General features: G+C 37.8%; 1 long non-coding RNA gene across 1 annotated transcript in view; it reads right to left on the bottom strand.

Annotated features, from left to right (window-relative positions):
* LOC105374595 (uncharacterized) overlaps positions 1-16,670 on the bottom strand; it is a 62,809-nt gene extending 46,139 nt beyond the window's left edge. Inside the window, exons 1-2 of the long non-coding RNA XR_001739461.2 lie at positions 16,626-16,670; positions 16,146-16,206 (exon numbers count right to left, since the gene is read on the bottom strand). This is a non-coding gene — a long non-coding RNA (uncharacterized LOC105374595). The remainder of the gene's footprint in view (positions 1-16,145; positions 16,207-16,625) is intronic.

Raw genomic sequence — 24,521 nt, 5'->3', positions numbered from 1 at the left:
TGGTAGAGCCTACTACACACCTATATGGTATAGCCTAGTGTTTCTAGGCTACAGACCTGTACAGCATAGGACTCTACTGAATACTGTAGGCAATCATAACACAATGGTAAGTATTTTTATATATAAACATATCTACACATAGAAAAGGTACAGTAAAAAATACAGTATAAAAGATGTTTTTTAATGGTATACCCCCATTGGGTACTTCTTATAAATGGAACTTGCAGGAGTGGAAGTTGCTCTGGGTGAGTCAATTATATGGTTTGGATGTTTTTTGTTCCCTTCAAACTTCATGTTGAAGCATAACCTCTAATGTTGGAGGTGGGCCTTGTGGGAGGTGTTTGGGTCATTGGGGCAAATCTCTAATTAATAGCTTGGTGTTGTCCCATGGTAATGAGTGAGTTCTCACTGTGTGAGTTCACATGGAATCTTGTTGTTTAAAAAAGGCCATCACCTCTCCCCTCTCGCTGTATCTCCCCCTCCCACAATGTGACATACTGACTCCCCTTCCCTACTGCCATGACTAAAAGTTTCCTGAGGCCTCCCCAGAAGCTAAGCAGATGCCAATGCCATGCTTGTACAGCCTGCAGAATCATGGGCCAAAATAAACCTCTTTTCTCTATAAGTTACCCAGACTCGGGTATTCTTTATAGTGATGTAAAATGAACTAGGACTAATACAGTCAGTGAGTGAGTGGTGAGTGAATATGAAGGCCTAGGACATTACTGTATGCTTTATAAAGAAATATTTTTTCCTCAATAATGAACTAAACTTTGCTTACTGTAACATTTTTACTTTATAGACTTTTTAAATTTTATATTGGTCCATTCTCATACTGCTATAAAGAACTAGCTGAGACTGGGTAATTTATAAATAAAAGAGGTTTAATGGACTCTTAGTTCTACAGCCTATACAGGAAGCATGGCTGAGAGGCCTCAAGAAACCTACCATCATGGTGTCAGGGGAAGCAAACACATCTTACCATGGTGGAGCAGGAGAGAGAGAGAGAGAAGTGGGAAGTGCCACACACTTTTAAACAACCAAATCTCCTGAGAACTCACTCACTATCACCAGAACAGCAAGGGTGAAATCCATTCACATGATTTAATCACCTCCCACCAGGTCCCTTCCCCAACATTGGGAATTACAATTCGACATGAAATTTGGGTGGGAACACGGAGCCAAACTATATCAAATTTAATTTTTTTTCACTATTTTATAATAATACTTAGCTTAAAAAGCACATTGTATACCTGTACAAAAATATTTTATTTCTTTATATCCTTTTTCTATAAGCTCTTTTCCATTTTTATTTATGTTTTAATTGCTAAGTTTTTTGGTTTTGTTAAAAACTAAGACAGACACACACATTAGCCTAGGCGAAATGGGGTCAAGATAATCAGTATCACTGCCTTCTACTTCCACATCCTGTCCCACTGAAAGGTCTTTAGAGCAATAACATGCATGGAGATACTGTCTCCTATGATAACAATGCCTTTTTCTGGAATATCTCCTACAGTGTCTGCCTGAGGCTGTTTTACAGTTACCTTTTTTTTCCTTATAAGTAGAAGGGATATACTCTAAAATAACAATAAAACATATAGTATAATAAATGCATAAATCAGTAACATAGTCATTTACCATCATCCTCAAGTATTATGTACTGCGCATAATTGTATGTGCTTTGCTTTCATACAACTGGCTATATAGTGGGTTTATTTACACCAACATCATCATGAACAATGGGAATTCTTCAGCTCCATCATAATATTATGGGACCACTGTCACATATGCAGTTCATTGTTGACCAAAATGTCATTATACAGTGCAGAACTATATTTATATACATGTATTTAAATATTTAAACTGAGTTTGTCGATAGTACTCTTCAGATATTATTTATCCTTATTTTTCTCTGCTTTAACAGTTACCAAGAAGGATATACTATAATCTATAATTATAGTTGTTGATTTACCTATCTCCCCATAATTTTGTCAATTGTTACTTTATGCAATTTGGGTCGGTCTATTATGAGGCTACACACATCTGATTTTGATTTATTCTCTTGCTCCATTTATAAGCATAAAATGGTATATGCTGTTGTATGTCTATATAACACTGATCATTTGACTTTAATTTTGTCAGAAATATTTTATTTCTGATATGCCTGGTATACTTTTTCTATCCTTGTATTTTCACACTTTCTAAGTGTATCTCTGGTATTCAACATGTTTCAGTATTTTTTACATTTATTAAAATTCTATTATACAGACTACAGTACTTTATTCACAAACCCAAAATTTAAATATTTCTGAAAACTGAGCGCTTTTTCATAACTTATGCAGCAGCAAAACCAAACTACCTTGTCTGCATGGTGGCAAAATCAGACTTAAACTGTCAAGAAAATATTTCCAGTGAAATAAAGAAACACTGCTCCTATACAGTTCTATTTCTCTTCCATTTTTATTTCTTTATGCTAATATTGTTAAGGATATAATATCTATACCTGTTACAAACCCCAAAATACATTGTTATAAGTACTTTGTATAGTTTTGTGGCTACTAAATAAGCTGAGAAAAGAAAGGAAAGAAAGGATATATTTATAGACTTTGTTACATTAATCTTATTTACTATGTCCAGTTCTCTTCATTTGTTCCCATGGATTCAAGTTACTGTCTCGTGTCATTTTCCTCCTCCAATAGAGCTTGTTCTCACCAACCTTCTTTGTGCTAGTATTGTCAAATATATTGCATTTCTGTATGCTATAGACCAAACAATCTAATTATATACTATTGTTTTATAAAAATTTTTTTTAAATCAGGTAAGAGAATAAATATACATATGTATGTGTGTGTATATATATGCACACACATATATATATAATGTTTTGTAATTATATAATTACCTTTGCTCCTTATTTTTTCATCTGGATGTGAATTTCCATCTAGGTTTACTTGCTTTCAGCCTGACGAACTTCCTTTAGTTTTTTTTATAAGGTAGATCTGAAGAAATGATTTATTTTACTTTTTCATTTGTATCTAGAAACACTTTTACTTTGCCTTCATTTTTAAAAGATACATTTGCTGAAGATAAGATTCTTGGTTGACAGTTTATTTCTTTCAGTCCTTGAATACGTCATTTACTGCAATTTGGCCTCCATTGTTTCTCAGGAGAAGTCAGCTGTTAAATTTACTAAGTCTTCCTTGTTTGCAGGGGGCTGTTTTTCTCTTGTTGCTTTCAAAATTTCTGTCTTTGAATTTCACCATTTTTAACATCATATGTCTGGTTATGGATCCCTTTGTTTTTATCCTACTTGAAGTTCATTGTGCGTTTATCCTATTTGATAAGAATCCCTGAGCCACAGCCCTGGAGTTGAGGGTAGAATCGGTGGCTGGCTTCTCTCACATGGCAGCCTGCTTACTAGCTGGGTGCTGGGTGCAGGCACTAGACTCTGGTCTCTTCAGCTTACCTAACCCAGTGTGGAATGTAGGCCCTACAAGCAAGCTGGGGCAAGAGTAATTAGGCCCAACATTCTCAGCCTAACACCCTTGGGTTAGAGCTTCCACTTTACAAGTTGGAGATGGGTGAGAGAAGAGAACCCCTAGCTTCTAAACTATACTTACCAGGACATTAGCCTCTGCAACTTAGAACTAGGAGTAATGAGAAATGCTAGTGTCCTGCCCCTCCAAGTGAGACATCATATCCCTTGATTGGGAGCTGTCTTCTTGGCCATACCTGACCAGAGTAGTACACACCTGACTAGTGTTTCATTAATGAACACTTACTCATTTGTTGTAAGCAGTCAGGACAATTTCCAGAGATGTTAAGTGGTTAGATAAATAAATAGATAATATTCACCAGTTAGGATTGTTTCTCTGAGGATTCTAGAGCTCCACTTTCATGGTGGATTTTTTTTTTCTAATCTATCTCTTCTTGATGTCTCCTGAGATAGTTTCTCAACCCAAATATCTAGCCTGCTAGTTGGGATTACAGTTTGACCTTTCCTTTTTGCATCTCTCACCTTTCCCATAGGCATCTCCTGACTCCAGGAAATCTCCTAATGCCTCAGTTTCAGGTACTACTCTTTTCTGGGGTCCTTCACCAACCTTTTATGTAATTGTTCTATTGGTTGTAGATAGAAGTACTAGCAAGCAGGGTGAGGGTGGTCTGCATCAGAACAGCATGCCTGCAGTCCCGGGTATAGCATCTATCCATCATCCAATTTCCATGCTGATACGAGCTTACTGGATATGGTTGGTGCTAGACTGGATCTGCTACTTCTTTCTCCCATGGTAGCTATTAGGCATGTGGTGATCCACTCAACTCAATATAAAAGAAGGGAAAGAGAATGATTAGAAAATGATTTCTGATAACCCTCAATGTCCCCTTGCCCCTCTCATGTTGCAGTCTAATTTATATTACCACATCCTTCTCTTGGTTTTCAGCACTAATTCCAATTCTCCTCCACCAAACAAACATCCAGAGGTCAAATCATCTTATTCTCAAAGTGTTTGACAGTGTTTTGGTTTTGTCTGATAAAACTGTTCTGAAACCCATTCACCTCCTTATCCCTTTTGTGGCGATCCCAATATCTAGAGAAGGGAGCCAGTAGTCTGCTTGTTTTCCAATTAGTCTAGAATTAGACAGCAATTTTCTATTACTTTAAGGCATCTGTTTTGCCCTTTCCTACTGGTACATAAAGGCAGGAATCATTTCTTCTTCCTCTTTGTGACCCCAGTTGCTGCCCAATTCCTTGGGAAGGCATACTGAGGACCCGTGTGGGTTGAGGGTTGTGGCTTTTATGAAGGCTAATAACATAACACGGAATCCCACCTGTCAAGAAGTGTAGTATTTAGCAGAGAGTGAAGATGGAGAGATACCTGGATTGGTCTTTTCCATTGATTTTCAATGCTTCAGTAAATGAATCCAATTTTTCAAGGGTTAAACTATTGCATCCATAGTTTCAAAATGCCAGTAAATAGAAGAATGATCTATTACTTTTCCACAAGATTGCATTGATAACTAGTGCAAAACTAGCTTTTCAGCTATGTATCAAACCCTTTTCTTCTGCTAGGTATTACTGTACTTGAGTGCCTCCCAAAGCAATTGCTTTTTGTTTCTGCTTTTAATACCAGGCCATTAATCCCAATGTTCTGTTTGGAGTAAAGTGATACATGCGAAGCCAGGCTTAGGAATTATGATAGTTAAAAGCTCACATTTAAACAGGCAGATGCAAAATGGGATTTCATTTCTTTCTGGCATTAGGCTTTTAAGTGTCAGAAAAATAACAATCCACAGAGAGAAATTTTTCCACAAGAGCTGCAGCTCTGATATTTTAGTCACAATTCTCTCCAAATCAGCTACAGCTATGAATCTTGTTGAGGTAATGATAGTTCAAGAAAGCGATTGTAAAAATTGATTTAAATCCTTTGACAGTATGTCTACATTCCATAGTCAATAAAAAAAGAGTTTCATGGGCTATGGAAGTGATTGCTACAAAGCAGATATGGCTCTTCCTCAAAAATCATAATGCAGGACTTTATTCTCTAATGTTTTAGCTTCTCCTTCCCCCAGCAAGCTTTGTAGCCCACTTGAATCAGGCCCATTTACTTGATGTATATGATGGAAAAAGTAAAGGTGATTGAGAGACATGCATTTGAGATTGATTGTCATTGAAATGGAAATATGTTTGCATTTATATGGAGAATGAGAACTTTTCTACCAGTAGTTCTTAGATTTTTTTATGTTTTCTAAGATTAGGAGAGACATACGTAGTCACACAGACCAAAGTCTCCTTTCTTGAGGCAGGTCAGTGCGACACTAAACTTCTCTGTGACCCAAACCCTGCAGTAGGTGACTTACACACATTAATTTTCTTAGCAAGGGAGGTGGTGGTTATCTCCTTGTCACAGGCAAGGACATGGGGCTCAGGAGAGGATGTTCATAGAGAGAATCAGTGTCACAGCTAAGGTCTGACCCCAAATCTTGCTTTTCCTACCCTTTGCTGACTCCTAGATGATCCATGATTTGTTGGAGCTGTCTGCTTTCAGTAAATTAATATACCTCCACTAGCACTAAATAATAAATTAGAAGGTGATTCTTTATAGTACCAAAGGATTTTCTAGGGGGGTGGGCCTTTAAATAGCCAGCACATTTCAAATACCAATTTTTAAAATATATATATATTAAAATATTTACTTTATATTTAATTTGTCTTCAGCATTCTAATAATAGTTTTCATCCTCAAGCATATATATCCATTAATTATTTATAATTCCCCTGTCAGGTAGGTGCTGTTTAGCCCCATTTTATTTATTTATTTTTTAAATTTATTTATTTTTTATTTATTATACTTTGAGTTTTAGGGTACATGTACACAACGTGCAGGTTAGTTACATATGTATACATGTGCTATGTTGGTGTGCTGCACCCATTAACTCATCATTTAACATTAGGTATATCTCCTAATGCTATCCCTCCCCTCTCGCCCCACCCCACAACAGGCCCTGGTGTGTGATGTTCCCCTTCCTGTGTCCATGTGTTCTCATTGTTCAGTTCCCACCTATGAGAACATGTGGTGTTTGGTTTTTTGTCTTTGTGATAGTTTGCTGAGAATGATGGTTTCCTGCTTCATCCATGTCCCTACAAAGGACATGAACTTATCATTTTTTATGGCTGCATAGTATTCCACGGTGTATATTTGCCACATTTTCTTAATCCAGTCTATCATTGTTGGACATTTGGCTTGGTTCCAAGTCTTTACTATTGTGAATAGTGCCGCAATAAACATACGTGTGCATGTGTCTTGATAGCAGCATGTTTTATAATCCTTTGGGTATATACCCAGTAATGGGATGGCTGGGTCAAATGGTATTTCTAGTTCTAGATCCCTGAGGAATCGACACACTGACTTCCACAAGGGTTGAACTAGTTTACAGTCTCACCAACAGTATAAAAGTGTTCCTTTTTCTCCACATCCTCTCCAGCACCTGTTGTTTCCTGACTTTTTAATGATCGCCATTCTAACTGGTGTGAGATGGTATCTCATTGTGGTTTTGATTTGCATTTCTCTGATGGCCAGTGATGGTGAGCATTCTTTCATGTGTCTTTTGGCTGCATAAATGTCTTCTTTTGAGAAGTGTCTGTTCATATCCTTCGCCCACTTTTTGATGGGATTGTTTGATTTTTTCTTGTAAATTTGTTTGAGTTCATTGTAGATTCTGGATATTAGCCCTTTGTTAGATGAGTAGATTGCAAAAATTTTCTCCCATTCTGTAGGTTGCCTGTTCACTCTGATGGTAGTTTCTTTTGCTGTGCAGAAGCTCTTTAGTTTAATTAAATCCCATTTGTCAATTTTGGCTTTTGTTGCCATTGCTTTTGGTGTTTTAGACATGAAGTTCTTGCCCATGCCTATGTCCAGAATGGTAATGCCTAGGTTTTCTTCTAGGGTTTTTATGGTTTTAGGTCTAACATTTAAGTCTTTAATCCATCTTGAATTAATTTTTGTATAAGGTATAAGGAAGGGATCTAGTTTCAGCTTTCTACATATGGCTAGCCAGTTTTCCCAGCACCATTTATTAAATAGGGAATCCTTTCCCCATTTCTTGTTTTTGTCAGGTTTGTCAAAGATCAGATAGTTGTAGATATGTGGCATTATTTCTGAAGGCTCTGTTCTGTTCCATTGGTCTATATCTCTGTTTTTGTACCAGTACCATGCTGTTTTGGTTACTGTAGCCTTGTAGTATAGTTTGAAGTCAGGTAGCCTGATGCCTCCAGCTTTGTTCTATTGGCTTAGGATTGACTTGGCAATGCAGGCTCTTTTTTGGTTCCATATGAACTTTAGTTTTTTCCAATTCTGTGAAGAAAGTCATTGGTAGCTTGATGGGGATGGCATTGAATCTATAAATTACCTTGGGCAGTATGGCCATTTTCATGATACTGATTCTTCCTACCCATGAGCATGGAATGTTCTTCCATTTGTTTGTATCCTCTTTTATTTCATTGAGCAGTGGTTTGTAGTTCTCCTTGAAGAGGTCCTTCACATCCCTTGTAAGTTGGATTCCTAGGTATTTTCTTCTCTTTGAAGCAATTGTGAATGGGAGTTCACTCATGATTTGGCTGTCTGTTTGTCTGTTATTGGTGTATAAGAATGCTTGTGATTTTTGCACATTGATTTTGTATCCTGAGACTTTGCTGAAGTTGCTTATCAGCTTAAGGAGATTTTGGGCTGGGATGATGGGGTTTTCTAGATATACAATCATGTCATCTGCAAACAGGGACAATTTGACTTCCTCTTTTCCTAATTGAATACCCTTTATTTCCTTCTCCTGCCTGATTGCCCTGGCCAGAACTTCCAATACTATGTTGAATAGGAGTGGTGAGAGAGGGCATCCCTGTCTTGTGCCAGTTCTCAAAGGGAATGCTTCCAGTTTTTGTCCATTCAGTATGATATTGGCTGTGGGTTTGTCATAGATAGCTCTTATTATTTTGAGATATGTCCCATCAATACCTAATTTATTGAGAGTTTTTAGCATAAAGGGTTATTGAATTTTGTCAAAGGCCTTTTCTGCATCAATTGAGATAATCATGTGGTTTTTGTCTTTGGTTCTGTTTATATGCTAGATTACGTTTATTGATTTGTGTATGTTGAACCAGCCTTGCATCCCAGGGATGAAGCCCACTTGATCATGGTGGATAAGCTTTTTGATGTGCTGCTGGAGTCGGTTTACCAGTATTTTATTGAGGATTTTTGCATCGATGTTCATCAGGCATATTGGTCTAAAATTCTCTTTTTTGGTTGTGTCTCTGCCAGGTTTTGGTATCAGAATGATGCTGGCTACATAAAATGAGTTAGGGAGGATTCCTTCCTTTTCTATTGATTGGAATAGTTTCAGAAGAAATGGTACCAGCTCCTCCTTGTACCTCTGGTAGAATTCGGCTGTGAATCCGTCTGGTCCTGGATTTTTTTTGGTTGGTAAGCTATTAATTATTGCCTCAATTTCAGAGCCTGTTACTGATCTATTCAGTGATTCAACTTCTTCCTGGTTTAGTCTTGGGAGGGTGTATGTGTCTAGGAATTTATCTATTTCTTCTAGATTTTCTAGTTTATTTGCATAGAAGTGTTTATAGTATTCTCTGATGGTAGTTGGTATTTCTGTGGGATTAGTGGTGATATCCCCTTTATCATTTTTATTGCATCTATTTGATTCTTCTCTCTTTTCTTCTTTATTAGTCTTGCTAGTGGTCTATCAATTTTGTTGACCTTTTCAAAAAACCAGCTCCTGGATTCATTGATTTTTTGAAGGGTTCTTTGTGTCTCTATCTCTTTCAGTTCTGCTCTGATGTTAGTTATTTCTTGCCTTCTGCTAGCTTTTGAATGTGTTTGCTCTTGCTTCTCTAGTTCTTTTAATTGTGATGTTAGGGTGTCAATTTTAGATCTTTCCTGCTTTCTCTTGTGGGCATGTAGTGCTATAAATTTCCCTCTACACACTGCTCTGAATGTGTCCCACAGATTCTGGTATGTTGTGTCTTTGTTCTCATTGGTTTCAAAGAACATCTTTATTTCTGCCTTCATTTCGTTATGTACCCAGTGGTCATTCAGGAGCAGGTTGTTCAGTTTCCATGTAGTTGAGCGGTTTTGAGTGAGTTTCTTAATCCTGAGTTCTAGTTTGATTGCACTGTAGTCTGAGAGATAGTTTGTTATAGTTTCTGTTCTTTTACATTTGCTGAGGATCGCTTTACTTCCAACTATGTGGTCAAATTTGGAATAGGTGTGGTGTGGTGCTGAAAAGAATGTATATTCTGTTAATTTGGGGTGGAGGGTTCTGTAGATGTCTATTAGGTCCGCTTGGTGCAGAGTTTAGTTCAATTCCTGAATATCCCTGTTAACTTTCTGTCTCATTGATCTGTCTAATGTTGACAGTGGGGTGTTAAAGTCTCCCATTATTATTGTGTGGGAGTCTAAGTCTCTTTGTATGTCTCTAAGGACTTGCTTTATGAATCTGGGTGCTCCTGTATTGGGTGCATATATATTTAGGATAGTTAGCTCTTCTTGTTCAATTGTTCCCTTTACCATTATGTAATGACCTTCTTTGTCTCTTCTGATCTTTGTTGATTTAAAGTCTGTTTTATCCGAGACTAGGATTGCAACCCCTGCCTTTTTTTGTTTTCCATTTGCTTGGTAGATCTTCCTCCATCCCTTTATTTTGAGCCTATGTGTGTCTCTGCACATGAGATGGGTTTCCTGAATATAGCTTACTGATGGGTCTTGACTCTTTATCCAATTTGCCAGTCTGTGTCTTTTAATTGTAGCATTTAGCCCATTTATATTTAAGGTTAGTATTGTTATGTGTGAATTTGATCCTGTCATTATGATGTTAACTGGTTATTTTGCTCGTTAGTTGATGCAGTTTCTTCCTAGCCTTGATGGTCTTTACAATTTGGCATGTTTTTGCAGTGGCTGGTACTGGTTGTTCCTTTCCATGTTTAGCGCTTCCTTCAGGAGCTCTTTTAGGGCAGGCCTGTTGGTGACAAAATCTCTCAGCATTTGCTTGTCTGTAAAGTATTTTATTTCTCCTTCACTTATGAAGCCTAGTTTGGCTGGATGTGAAATGCTGGGTTGAAAATTATTTTCTTTAAGAATGTTGAACATTGGCCCCCACTCTCTTCTGGCTTGTAGAGTTTTTGCTGAGAGATCCGCTGTTAGTCTGATGGGCTTCCCTTTGTGGGTAACCCGACCTTTCTCTCTGGCTGCCCTTAACATTTTTTCCTTCATTTCAACTTTGGTGAATCTGACAATTATGTATCTTGGAGTTGTTCTTCTTGAGGAGTATCTTTGTGGTATTCTCTGTATTTCCTGAAGTTGAATGTTGACCTGCATTGCTAGATTGGGGGAAGTTCTCCTGGATGATATCCTGCAGAGTGTTTTCCAACTTGGTTCCATTCTCCCCGTCACTTTCAGGTACACCAGTCAGACATAGATTTGGTCTTTTCACATAGTCCCATCTTTCTTGGAGACTTTGTTCATTTCTTTTTATTCTTTTTTCTCTAAACTTCTCTTCTCGCTTCATTTCATTCATTTCATCTTCCATCATTGATACCCTTTCTTCCAGTTGATCGAATCAGCTACTGAGGCTTGTACATTTGTCACGTAGTTCTCTTGCCATGGTTTTGAGCTCCATCAGGTCCTTTAAGGACTTCTCTGCATTGGTTATTCTAGTTAGCCATTCGTCTAATTTTTTTCAAGGTTTTCAACTTCTTTGCCATGGGTTTGAACTTCCTCCTTTAGCTCGGAGTAGTTTGATCATCTGAAGACTTCTTCTCTCATCTTGTCAAAGTCATTCTCCGTCCAGCTTTGCTCCATTGCTGGTGAGGAGCTGTGTTCCTTTGGAGGAGGAGAGGTGCTCTGATTTTTAGAGTTTCCAGTTTTTCTGCTCTGTTTTTTCCCCATCTTTGTGGTTTTATCTACCTTTGGTCTTTGATGATGGTGACATATAGATGGGGTTTTGGTGTGGATGTCCTTTCTGTTTGTTAGTTTTCCTTCTAACAGTCAGGACCCTCAGCTGCAGGTCTGTTGGAGTTTGCTGGAGGTCCACTCCAGATCCTGTTTGCCTGGGTATCAGCAGCAGAGGCTGCAGAACAACAGATATTGGTGAACAACAAATGCTGCTGCCTGATCGTTCCTCTGGAAGTTTTGTCTCAGAGGAGTACCCGGCCGTGTGAGGTGTCAGTCTGGGGCACTGAGAGTAAACAGATCTCTCAAGTTCATACACATAGAAGTGGTGATTGCAGGAATTGAACACAGTTTGTCTGATTCCTGATCCTGTGCTCCAAGGTAATATACCACATGCCTCTTGGGTAGAATATTTCCTCAACCTGTGATATCAAGAACTTCATTCTTTTCACAAGTCATTTTGCTCATGAGTAACAGTGAATTTAACTTCAGGCAGGTGACAAGCGTAAGCTGTTATTTGCCCCTATTTTACTGCGCAAAGACGTAGAGAATAACAATATATGATGTGGTAATTGCCCTTATGGAACTTTTAATCAGTTGAGGAAATCTTATTAATTAATTATATCATTGTAGCCTAAACGTGGAAAATTACCTATTGTGTTTCAGTGTCACTTTTAAAACATGAAGGAAGTGACCTTCCATGGAGCTCAGCCACAATAACAGGTTTTCCAAAATTCCAAACTGGGTTCAGTGAACTTCAAAAATGGCCACAGAATGGAGAACCAAGCATATATTCCCCTCTTTTTCCTTTCAGTGCTATTTAACTATTTAAAAAAACTTACTAAAATATTTTTACCATAATTGGATATGAATTTAAAATTTATAGACAGAATGGAGTGAAAGTGAAAATGTATTGTTTTAGAGGCTTCTGGTGGCTTGGAAGTTGCTGCTAGTTTCTCTCCATGGGCCTGAAAGATGGTCTCAGAAGATTGGCACCACATGCCTGCTTCTATGCTGCTACACTGCTTTTTCCTAACCAACAGTCTGTGAATCGTTCCTAGCCAAGGTTCCCAAGCTACAGATTGCTTTAGCTGCTGCTTGTGGCTGTTCCTTTCTCCATCTAAGCTTACACACAGGACCAGGATGTGGGGAAAAACACTTAGACACTGTTGATGGGGATGTAAATTCGTTCAACCTCCATAGAAAACAGTGTGGAGATTTCTCAAATAACTAAAAATAGAACATTCAACCCAGCAATCCTACTACTGAGTACCTACCAAAGGAAAAAAAATTATATAAAAAATACATCTGCACTCATATGTTCATCACAGCACTATTTGTAATAGCAAAGTCATGGAACCAACCTAAGTTTCCATCAATGGTTGACTGGATAAAGAAAATGTGGTAGATATACACCATGGAATACTACGCAGCCATGAAAAGAATGAATCATGTTCTTTGCAGCATGAAGCTGTAGGCAATTATCCTAAGGGAACTAATTCAAAAACAGAAAATCAAAATTAAATACCTCACGCAGTCACTTATAAGTGGGAGCTAAACAACGAGTACACATGGACATACAGAGGAGAATAATAGACCTTGGGGACTCCAACAGTGGGGAGAATGGAAGAAGGGGTTGAGGGTTGAAAAATCACCTATCAAGTGCAATGTTCACTATTTGGGTAATGGGTATACTACAGGACTGATCCCCACCAGTATGCAATATACTCATGTAACAAACATGCACATGTACATCCTGAATTTAAAATAAAATTTAAAAATACAAAAAAGAATACCTATAGCCACCGAGTGCTCTCTAGTTCTGCTGCCACCAAACCTCCTCATTTTATGCTTGGACAATTGTGATAGCTTTTAAGTTGTTCTTCCCTTTCCCTACAACACCTCCCTCCAGTTTTTCTCGGGTGCTTCCATCACATAAATTGCGTTCAAACAATTTTTTAACTTGCCATTCTCCAGCATAAATGTTTTCAGTGGTTCCTCATTACCTTTGGAATGAAATTCCCAACTCTTTGACATGGCATGTAACTCTCATGTCTCCTCTCTCTGAACTTTTACTCCACGACAGTGGTTCTTAACTGGGGACAATTTTGCTTCTCAGGGGACATTTGGTTGTCATACCTCCAAGAGGAGGTAAAGTAACTGGCATCTAGTTGGTAGGGGCAAAAGATGCTGCTAAACATCCTACAATGCCCCCCCCCCACCTCAACAGAGAACTACACAGACTGGGAGGTCAGTAGAGCAGAGGTTGACAAACCCTGTTTGAGACAAATGGGACTGAGAGTGTTTCCTAGAATGTACCCCGCACATACCAACACCATACATCTTCAGCTGTCCAACTTAATGCTTAAATGTTACTACTACCTTTATTCCTATCAATTCTCCAAAGCCTTCCTGGTGAAATGCTCCCTCGCTCCACTGAATTTTTATTGCATATACTTGTTTCACCCTTGTGTTACTTTTCCTAATCTTTTCTTTCCCCACTGTTAAATATTTTTGAAATATAAAGCATCTATCTTCTCCCCCTCATATCCCTTTGCAGTACTTATCACAGGGCTACACATATAATAGGTACTGGAAAATATTTGTTGTTTGACTGGACACAGAAAAACAGTTCATTTATTTTGACTGTAGGCTCCCTTTATAGCCATGTCTGTCCATTTGCTATATAATGCGATCACTGCTACTGCAGTCACTGAATTCCTAATATGTAGACTCAAGCACAGTTCCTTTGTTTTAAGATACTGACAGTTTTACTAGTTCTAAACTCAAGGAAGCGTAATGGAATCCTGGTGATCAGGTATGGCCCTGTCTCCATTTGTCACACCTCTTGGCCTGCTGTTATCTTAAATGAGTGGCCATGTGGAACAAATCACTAACGTGAAGGACAAGGCAAAATTACCAGAAAAGAAAGCATGAAATGGTAAATGTTTTATTTAATGTAGAATGATATGGAAATGTTTCATCTGATGCCAGCCTGCTGTTTTAAACAACCTCAGCTTCATTATTCAGAACCCTAGCATTAATGTATCTTTGCAGTGGAAAGCTTGCTAAGCAGGCTAAGAGAACACATTAGTGGAATCTTGTCTTTCCTGGTTGCTGCCCCTCATGCAAATAAATGGTTCAATTTAAAGTAATTTACCAAAGATGCATAGAGCACCTAGTATATAAAGTGAACACATGTACGGTGCCTGGCATATATACAATGGAAGATGTAAAGATGCCTACAGAGAATCCACAATCCAGTAGAAATATAAGGTAAAACAAGATGAATGGTAGTAAAATAGAGTTCTCTGAGCTCTCCAGGGGTAGAGTAACTAGGTTTAAAGGAAGCAGGTGAGTGTCACTTTTAAGCTTCTTCATAAAGGAGGAATAGGAATGTTTTGTTTTTAAATTTCCTTTTTTTTTAAATTTTGTATTGCTGCCATAATAAATTATCACAAACTTAGTGGTTTCAAATATCACACATGTGTAACTTTACAATTCTATAGGTTAGAAGTCTGACACAAGTCTCAGTTTGTTAAAATAAAACCGTCACTGGGGCTATACTGCTTTCTGGATATTATAAGAATCTGTTTCCTTGCCTTTTCCAGCTTGCAAGCTGCCATAGTCATTGGCTCAAAGCCCTTCTTCCATCTTCAAAGCCAGTAGTGGTAGATTGAGACCATCTCATGCCTCATCTTTCTGACCACTCTTCTTTCTTTTTTTTCCACTTTTAAGGACCTGTTTGATTAGACTGGGCCTCCCTGAAGACACCAAGCCATTCTCCTATGTTCATCTAGATGCTTTATGCCTTTGCCTTTCACACTTAGGTCCATGGTTAATCCTAAATTACTCTTCATATGGTATGAGGTAGAGGTCAAGTTATATTTATTTCACATATGAGTAACCATGTAACTAAGCACCATTTACGGAAAAGACCATTCTTTCTTCCCTGAATTGTAATGGCATATTTGCTATGTATCAGATGACTGTGGACATGTGAGTATATCTTTGAACTCTTTATTCTGTTCCTTTGGTCTATTTGTCTAACCTCTTGCCAATATCACATCAACTCTAGGACCAAAGATGGAATAACTGTACAGTGATTTCTGACCATAATACTTTCCTTGGTTACAAGAACTAACATGTTTCATGCTAAGCATTATAATTAGTCTAACCCATGTGAAAGTGATCTTATACATCAATATTTACATTCCAAGTTTCTTGAGAAAAGCATTTCTTCTGCCTGTTTTGTAGTAGGCCATCCCATACCTAATAGATATTCAATGATCGATTACCTCAAACTAGGAAGTTTCCCAACTAATAGGTAAATAGGAATGATATTAAAATATTTAAAGGATAGAAATTTGTCAAATAATCAATTAAAAGTTAGATAAATTGTACGTAAAATAAGTAGAAATTCTCTGATTAGGCTCAAAGACTGAGACTCGGGAAACGTGAGATATAGTCCTGGCTTTGCCAGTAAAGTTATTTTACATAACCCCAGGCAAGTCACTTAATCTTTTTGTGGTCCGTTGATCTATCCATAAAATGAGAAAAATAATACTGTAATAATGTTTTAACCTTATAGGACTACTATGAGACTGAATTAAAAACAAATTTGAAGAGGAAAAACTTGCTATATAAAGGCTCTGCCTAGGATACAATTCTTTTCGAAAAATACACAACTCACCATAAGTCCACATTTCCATTGTGAAGTTATTATTTTTGTATCTGGTAAAGATTCTAAGACCCTGCAAGATATTGAAAAACATTGTAATTTAGCAAAAATAGAATAAAGTAATTTTAAGAGAGATTTAAAGTTAAGTTGATTGTATTATAATATTTAACAGAAAGTGGATTACCAAATTATATTTTGCATATATACAGCAACTCTATTAATTAGAGCCCCCTCTTTATTAATTTGGCCAGGGAAATTAATGTTTATAGTAGCCTTAAATGTTCAGGTAAATTGTTAGGGTTTTTTTTTTATTGTCTGGTTTAATTGAGTGTACACATAAATTCAGAATCAAATAGCAGTTAGAAAAGGGATAATCTAAAAAATGCTTATATGGTGGAACACAGAGATCAAAAGATTTCTTTTACTATTTTCTTCCTGGAAAAAGGAACAATTTTACAAAGAAAAAGAAGGCAGAAAATATGCCTTTCTTACCTTTGATCTTTTATTTTTACTGTCACTTTTCCTCACCACCCTGTGCCTGTCTATCCCATACTTGATGATCAATAAAGATGTGAATGAATAAAAAGCTGTCCCTCTGTTTGTGCTCCCAGTGTCCTGTACATTATGAGTCACATATCCTCTTTGATCATTTATTTACACGCTGCTTCCTCCTGGGCCATGAAGTTCTTGAGAGTACAAACTGTCCTTTAATCATCTGGGTAACCTCAGTGCCTGACAAATTGTAGACACTTAGAATATGTCTCTCAACTAATCCTGATAGGTTTCTCACAGTAATCTCAAGGCGATCCAGGCAAAACACAAGCTTTCTTTAAGCCTTTGACGAAGACCACTCAAGCAAAATGGGTGTTTTAATTAGCACATTGTGCTGAACAGTTCATGTTTGCACACAAGTGAAAAGGGATTTACACAGAAGAAAGGAGGAAATCTCCTGCACAGGTAGGAAAACTATGAAGAAATAAATACTGCACAGAAAGACTGTAAGCTTCCTATCATAAGCAGTTAACCCCACTACTCCTGGATACGAGTTCTGAACTAAATGTAAATGAAAATGTAATAGCTATACTTTTTAAAGATATACTTTTAATGTGGGGTGTCTTTGATATTATACTAAGTTTATATCTTTTACGCATCCCACTCATTAGAACAAAAAATGGGTGGATTACTTAACCATTTATCTAGCCAAATTGGTCCAGCCATTTGTTCTCTTTTTTTTTTTTATTTTGAAGATTTATTATTTTGAAAACATCTTAACCAAAATATTTTAGAGGTTGAAAATCTATGTGCATCTATAAAAATGTAAATTTGGGCAGAGAACTGGTTTGTTTTAGAAAAACAAAACTCACTTTCATCACAAGACAGAGAAGCTCAGGTCTTTCCTTGCAGCCATTCTATACACTTCAGCGCTTTGAAGGAGCTGGCCATGAGCACGAATTACTCCAATATTTCTATTTGCTCTAAACTCCATTCCAACTCTGCCTTCACTTCAGATTTGAGGTCATATCCATGAGCCTCTCACCATTTCTTTCTTTGTTTTTTTATTATACTTTAAGTTTTAGGGTACATGTGCACAATGTGCAGGTTAGTTACATATGTATACATGTGCCATGCTGGTGTGCTGCACCCATTAACTCGTCATTTAGCATTAGGTATATCTTCTAAAGCTATCCCTCCCCCCTCCCCCCACCCCACAACAGTCCCCAGAGTGTGATGTTCCCCTTCCTGTGTCCATGTGTTCTCATTGTTCATTTCCCACCTATGAGTGAGAATATGCGGTGTTTGGTTTTTTGTTCTTGCGATAATTTACTGAGAATGATGATTTCCAATTTCATCCATGTCCCTACAAAGGACATGAACTCATCGTATTTTACGGCTGCATAATATTCCATGGTGTATATGTGCCACATTTTCTTAATCCAGTCTATCATTGTTGGACATTTGGCTTGGTTCTAAGTCTTTGCTATTGTGAATAGTGCCGCAATAAACATACATGTGCATGTGTCTTGATAGCAGCATGATTTATAATCCACTGGGTATATACCCAGTAATGGGATGGCTGGGTCAAATGGTATTTCTAGTTCTAGATCCCTGAGGAATCGCCACACTGACTTCCACAAGGGTTGAACTAGTTTACAGTCCCACCAACAGTGTAAAAGTGTTCCTATTTCTCCACATCCTCTCCAGCACCTGTTGTTTCCTGACTTTTTAATGATTGCCATTCTAACTGGTGTGAGATGGTATCTCATTGTGGTTTTGATTTGCATTTCTCTGATGGCCAGTGATGGTGAACATTTTCTCATGTGTTTTTTGGCTGCATAAATGTCTTCTTTTGAGAAGTGTCTGTTCATATCCTTCGCCCACTTTTTGATGGGGTTGTTTATTTCTTGTAAATTTGTTTGAGTTCATTGTAGATTCTGGATATTAGCCCTTTGTCAGATGAGTAGGTTGTGAAAATTTTCTCCCATTTTGTAGGTTGCCTTTTCACTCTGATGGTAGTTTCTTTTGCTGTGCAGAAGCTCTTTAGTTTAATTAGATCCCATTTGTCAATTTTGGCTTTTGTTGCCATTGCTTTTGGTGTTTTAGACATGAAATCCTTGCCCATGCCTATGTCCTGAATGGTAATGCCTAGGTTTTCTTCTAGGGTTTTTATGGTTTCAGATCTAACGTTTAAGTCTTTAATCCATCTTGAATTAATTTTTGTATAAGGTGTAAGGAAGGGATCCAGTTTCAGCTTTCTACATATGGCTAGCCAGTTTTCCCAGCACCATTTATTAAATAGGGAATCCTTTCCCCATTTCTTGTTTTTCTCAGGTTTGTCAAAGATCAGATAGTTGTAGATATGTGGAGTTATTTCTGAGGGATCTGTTCTGTTCTGTTCTCTTCTTAACAGGAGCCAAAATGTCGACTGTGTGTCTCTGCAGAGGAAACCTGCCAGCAATATAGTACTGTTACTGTGGCTTAATAGATTGTTCTGTACACGTGACCCTGCTTAATGGAGAAGATGCATTCAAGAACTTTCTTTTTTTTACGTCGTGTTATTTGACTTGTAGTAACAAGAGCAAGTATCAGTTTAAATAAAAATAAACAGAAAGCTCAGTTTTTTTTTTTTAATTGCCGTTTTTCTTAGACAGAGCTAAACATGGCTTAATTAACAGCAAGTGGGCAGGAACAAGAGAGAGTAATCTTTTTTTTTTTGGTAACTTCCTTTGTTCTTTTCTTTAATTACTATACTTTACGTTCTAGGGTACATGTGCACAATGTGCAGGTTTGATACAGGTATGCATGTGCCATGTTGGTTTGCTGTACCCATCAACTCATCATTTACATTAGGTATTTCTCCTAATGCTATCCCTCCCCCAGCCCCTCACATCCCCTCTACAGGCCCCAGTGTGTGATGTTCCCCACCCTATGTCCAAGTGATCTCATTGTTCAATTCTCACCTATGAGTGAGAACATGCGGTGTTTGGTTTTCTGTCCTTGTGATAGTTTGCTCAGAATGATGGTTTCCAGCAGCATCCATGTCCCTGCAAAGGACATGAACTTATCCATTTTTATGGCTGCATAGTATTCCATGGTGTATATGTGCCACATTTTCTTAATCCAGTCTATCACTGATGGACATTTGGGTTGGTTCCAAGTCTGCTGTTGTGAATAGTGCTGCAATAAACATGTGTGCATGTGTCTTTACAGCAGCATGATTTATAATCCTTTGGGTATATAACCAGTAATGGGATTGCTGGGTCAAATGGTATTTCTAGTTCTAGAACCTTGAGGAATTGCCACACTGTCTTCAACAGTGGCTGAACCACTTTATACTCCCACCAGCAGTGTAAAAGTGTTCCTATTTCTCCACATCCTCTCCAGCACCTGTTGTTTCCTGACTTTTTAATGATCGCCATTCTAACTGGCGTGTGATGGTATCTCATTGTGGTTTTGATTTGCATTTCTCTGATGGTCAGTGATGATGAGCATTTTTTCATGTGTTGGTTGGCTGCATAAATATCTTCTTTTGAGAAGTGTCTGTTCATTTCCTTTGCCCAATTTTTGATGGGGTTGTTTGTTTTTTTCTTGTAAATTTGTTTGAGTTCTTTGTAGATTCTGCATATTAGCCCTTTGTCAGATGGGTAGATTGCAAAAATTTTCTCCCATTCTGTAGGTTACCTGTTCACTCTGATGGTAGTTTCTTTTGCTGTGCAGAAGCTCTTTAGTTTAATTAGATCCCATTTGTCAATTTTGGCTTTGGTTGCCATTGCTTTTGGTGTTTTAGTCATGAAGTCCTTGCCCATGCCTATATCCTGAATGGTATTGCCTGGGTTTTCTTCTAGGGTTTTTATGGTTTTAGGTCTAACATTTAAGTCTTTAATCCATCTTGAATTAATTTTTGTATAAGGTGTAAGGAAGGGATCCAATTTCAGCTTTCTACATATGGCTAGCCAGTTTTCCCAGCACCATTTATTAAATAGGGAATCCCTTCCCCATTGCTTGTTTTTCTCAGGTTTGTCAAAGATCAGATAGTTGTAGATGTCTGACATTATTTCTGAGGGCTCTGTTCTGTTCCATTGGTGAGTATCTCTGTTTTGGTACCAGTACCATGCTGTTTTGGTTACTGTAGCCTTGTATCCACATGAACTTCAAAGCAGTTTTTTCCAATTCTGTGAAGAAAGTCAGTTGGAGCTTGATGGGAATGGCATTGAATCTATAAATTACTTTGGGCAGTATGGCTGTTTTCACAATATTGATACTTCCTGTCCATGAGCATGGAATGTTCTTCCATTTGTTTGTGTCCTCTTTTATTTCATTGAGCAGTGGTTTGTAGTTCTCATTGAAGAGATCCTTCACATCCCTCGTAAGGTGGATTCCTAGGTATTTTATTCTCTTGGTAGCAATTGTGAATCGGAGTTCACTCATGATTTGGCTCTCTGTTTGTCTGTTTATGATGTATAGGAATGCTTGTGATTTTTGCACATTGATTTTGTATCCTGAGAATTTGCTTAAGTTGCTTATCAGCTTAAGGAAATTTGGGGCTGAGAAAATGGGGTTTTCTAAATAGACAATGATGTCATCTGCAAACAGGGAAAATTTAATTTCCTCTTTTCCTAATTGAATACCCTTCATTTCTTTCTCTTGCCTGATTGCCCTGGCCAGCACTTCCAACATTATGTTGAATAGGAGTGGTAAGAGAGGGCATCCTTGTCTTGTGCCTGTTTTCAAAGGGAATGCTTCCAGTTTTTGCACATTCAGTATGATATTGGCTGCGGGTCTGTCATAAATAGTTCTTATTATATTGAGATACGTTCCATCAATACCTAGTTCATTGAGAGTTTTTAGCATGAAGGGCTGTTGAATTTTGTCGAAGGCCTTTTCTGCATCTATTGAGATAATGATGTGGTTTTTGTCATTGTTTCTGTTTATGTGATGGATTATATTTAGTGATTTGCGTACATTGAACCACCCTTGCATCCCAGGGATGAAGCCCACTTGATTATGGTGGATAAGCTTTTTGATGTGCTGCTGGATTCGGTTTGCCAGTATTTTATTGAGGATTTTTGCATTGATTTTCATCAGGGATATTGGTCTAAAATTCTCTTTTTCTGTTGTGTCTCTGCCAGGCTTTGGTATCAGGATGATGTTGGCCTCGTAAAGTAAGTTAGGGAGGAGTCCCTCTTTTTCTATTGATTGGAATAGTTTCAGAAGGAATAGTATAGTACCAGCTCCTCTTTGTACCTCTGGTAGAATTCGGCTGTGAATCCATCTCATCCTGGACTTTTTTTAGTTGGTAGGCTATTAATTATTGCCTCTATTTCAGAGCCTGTTACTGGTCAATTCAGAGATTCAACTTCTTCCTGGTTTAGTCTTGGGAGGGTGTATGTGTCTAGGAATTTATCTATTTCTTCTAGATTTTCTAGTTTATTTGCGTAGAGATGTTTATAGTATTCTCTGATGGTACTTGGTATTTCTGTGGGATTGGTGGTGATATCCCCTTTATCATTTTTTATTGCATCTATTTGATTCTTCTCTCTTTTCTTCTTTATTAGTCTTGCTAGTGGTCTATCAATTTTGTTGACCTTTTCAAAAAATCAGCTCCTGGATTAATTGATTTTTTGAAGGGTTCTTTGTGTCTCTATTTCCTTCTGTTCTGCTCCGATCTTAGTTATTTCTTGCCTTCTGCTAGCTTTTGAATGTGTTTGCTCTTGCTTCTCTAGTTCTTTTAATTGTGATATTAGGCTGTCAATTTTAGATCTTATCTGCTTTCTCCTGTGGGCATTTAGTGCTCTAAATTTCCCTTTACACACTGCTTTATGTGTCCCAGAGATTCTGGTATGTTGTGTCTTTGTTCTCATTGGTTTCAAAGAATGCCTTTATTTCTGCCTTAATTTCATTATTTACCCAGTAGTCATTCAGGAGCAAGTTGTTCAGTTTCCATGTCGTTGTGCAGTTTTGAGTGAGTTTCTTAATCCTGAGTTGTAATTTGATTGCACTGTGGCCTGAGAGATAGTTTGTTGTGATTTCTTTTCTTTTACATTTGCTGAGGAGTGCTTTACTTCCAATTATGTGGTCAATTTCAGAATAAATGCAAGGTGGTGCTGAGGAAAATGTATATTCTGTTGACTTGGGGTGGAGAGTTCTATAGATGTCTGTTAGGTCTGCTTGTTGCAGAGCTGAGTTCAATTCCTGGATATCTTTGTTAATTCTGTCTCATTGATCTGTCTAATATTGACATTGGGGTGTTAAAGTCTCCCATTATTATTGTGTGGGAGTCTATGTCTCCTTGTAGGTCTCTAAGGACTTGCTTTTTGAATCTAGGTGCTCCGATATTGGGTGCATATACATTTAGGATAGTTAGCTCTTCTTGTTGAATTGATCCCTTTACCATTATGTAATGGCCTTCTTTGTCACTTTTGATCTTTGTTGGTTTAAAGTCTGTTTTATCAGAGGCTAGGATTGCAATGCCTGCTTGTTTTTGCTTTCCGTATGCTTGGTAAATATTCCTCCATCCCTTTAGTTTGAGCCCATGTTCATCTTTGCACATGAGATGAGGCTCCTGAATACAGCACACTGATGGGTCTTGACTCTTTATCCAATTTGCCAGTCTGTGTCTTTTAATTGGGGCATTTAGCCCATTTACATTTAAGTTTAATATTGCTATATGTGAATTTGATCCTGTCGTTATGATGTTCGCTGGTTATTTTGCCTGTTAATTGATGCAGTTTCTTCCTAGCATCAATGGTCTTTACAATTTGGCAAGTTTTTGCAGTGGCTGGCACCGGTTGTTCCTTTCCATATTTAGTGCTTCCTTCAGGAGCTCTTGTAAGGCAGGCCTGGTGGTGACAAAATCTCTCAGCATTTGCTTGTCTGTAAAGGATTTTATTTCTCTTTCACTTATGAAGCTTAGTTTGGCTGGATATGAAATTCTGGGTTGAAAATTCTTTTCTTTGAGAATGTTGAATATGGGCCCCCACTCTCTTCTGGCTTGTAGGATTTCTGCCGAGATATCCGCTGTTAGTCTGATGGGCTTCCCTTTGTAGGTAACTCGACCTTTCTCTCTGGCTGCCTTTAACACTTTTTCCTTCATTTCAACCTTGGTGAATCTGATAATTATGTGTCTTGGGGTTGCTCTTCTCGAGGAGTATCTTTGTAGTGTTCTCTGTATTTCCTGAATTTGAATGTTGGCCTGCCTTGCTAGATTGGGGAAGTTCTCCTGGATAATATCTTGAGGAGTGTTTTCCAACTTGGTTCCATTCTCTCCATCACTTTCAGGTACACCAATCAAATGTAGATGTGGTCTTTTCGTATAGTCCCATATTTCTTGGAGGCTTTGTTTGTTTCTTTTTACCCTTTTTTCTCTAACCTTGTCTTCTCACTTTATTTCATTAATTTGATCTTCAGTCACTGTTACCCTTTCTTCCACTTGATCAAATCGTCTATTGAAGCTTGTGCATGCATCATGAAGATCTCGTGCCATGGTTTTCAGCTCCTTCAGGTCATTTAAGGTCTTCTCTACACTGTTTATTCTAGTTAGCCATTCATCTAATCTGTTTTCAAGGTTTTTAGCTTCCTTGTGATAGGTTCGAACATCCTCCTTTAGCTCAGAGAAGTTTGTTATTACCGACCTTCTGAAGCCTACTTCTATCAACTTGTGAAAGTCATTCTCCGTCCAGCTTTATTCCATTGCTGGTAAAGAGCTGCAATCCTTTGGAGGAGAAGAGGCTCTTTGGTTTTTAGAATTTTCTGCTTTTCTGCTCTGGTTTCTCCCCATCTTTGTGGTTTTATCTACCTTTGGTCTTTGATGTTGGTGACCTACAGATGGGGTTTTGGTGTAGATGACCTTTTTGTTGAAGTTGATGCTGTTGCTTTCCGTTTGTTAGTTTT

This window comes from Homo sapiens, chromosome 2, assembly GCF_000001405.40.
Source record: "Homo sapiens chromosome 2, GRCh38.p14 Primary Assembly".
NCBI lineage: Eukaryota > Metazoa > Chordata > Mammalia > Primates > Hominidae > Homo > Homo sapiens.
This window is presented reverse-complemented; position numbering and strand designations above follow the sequence as displayed.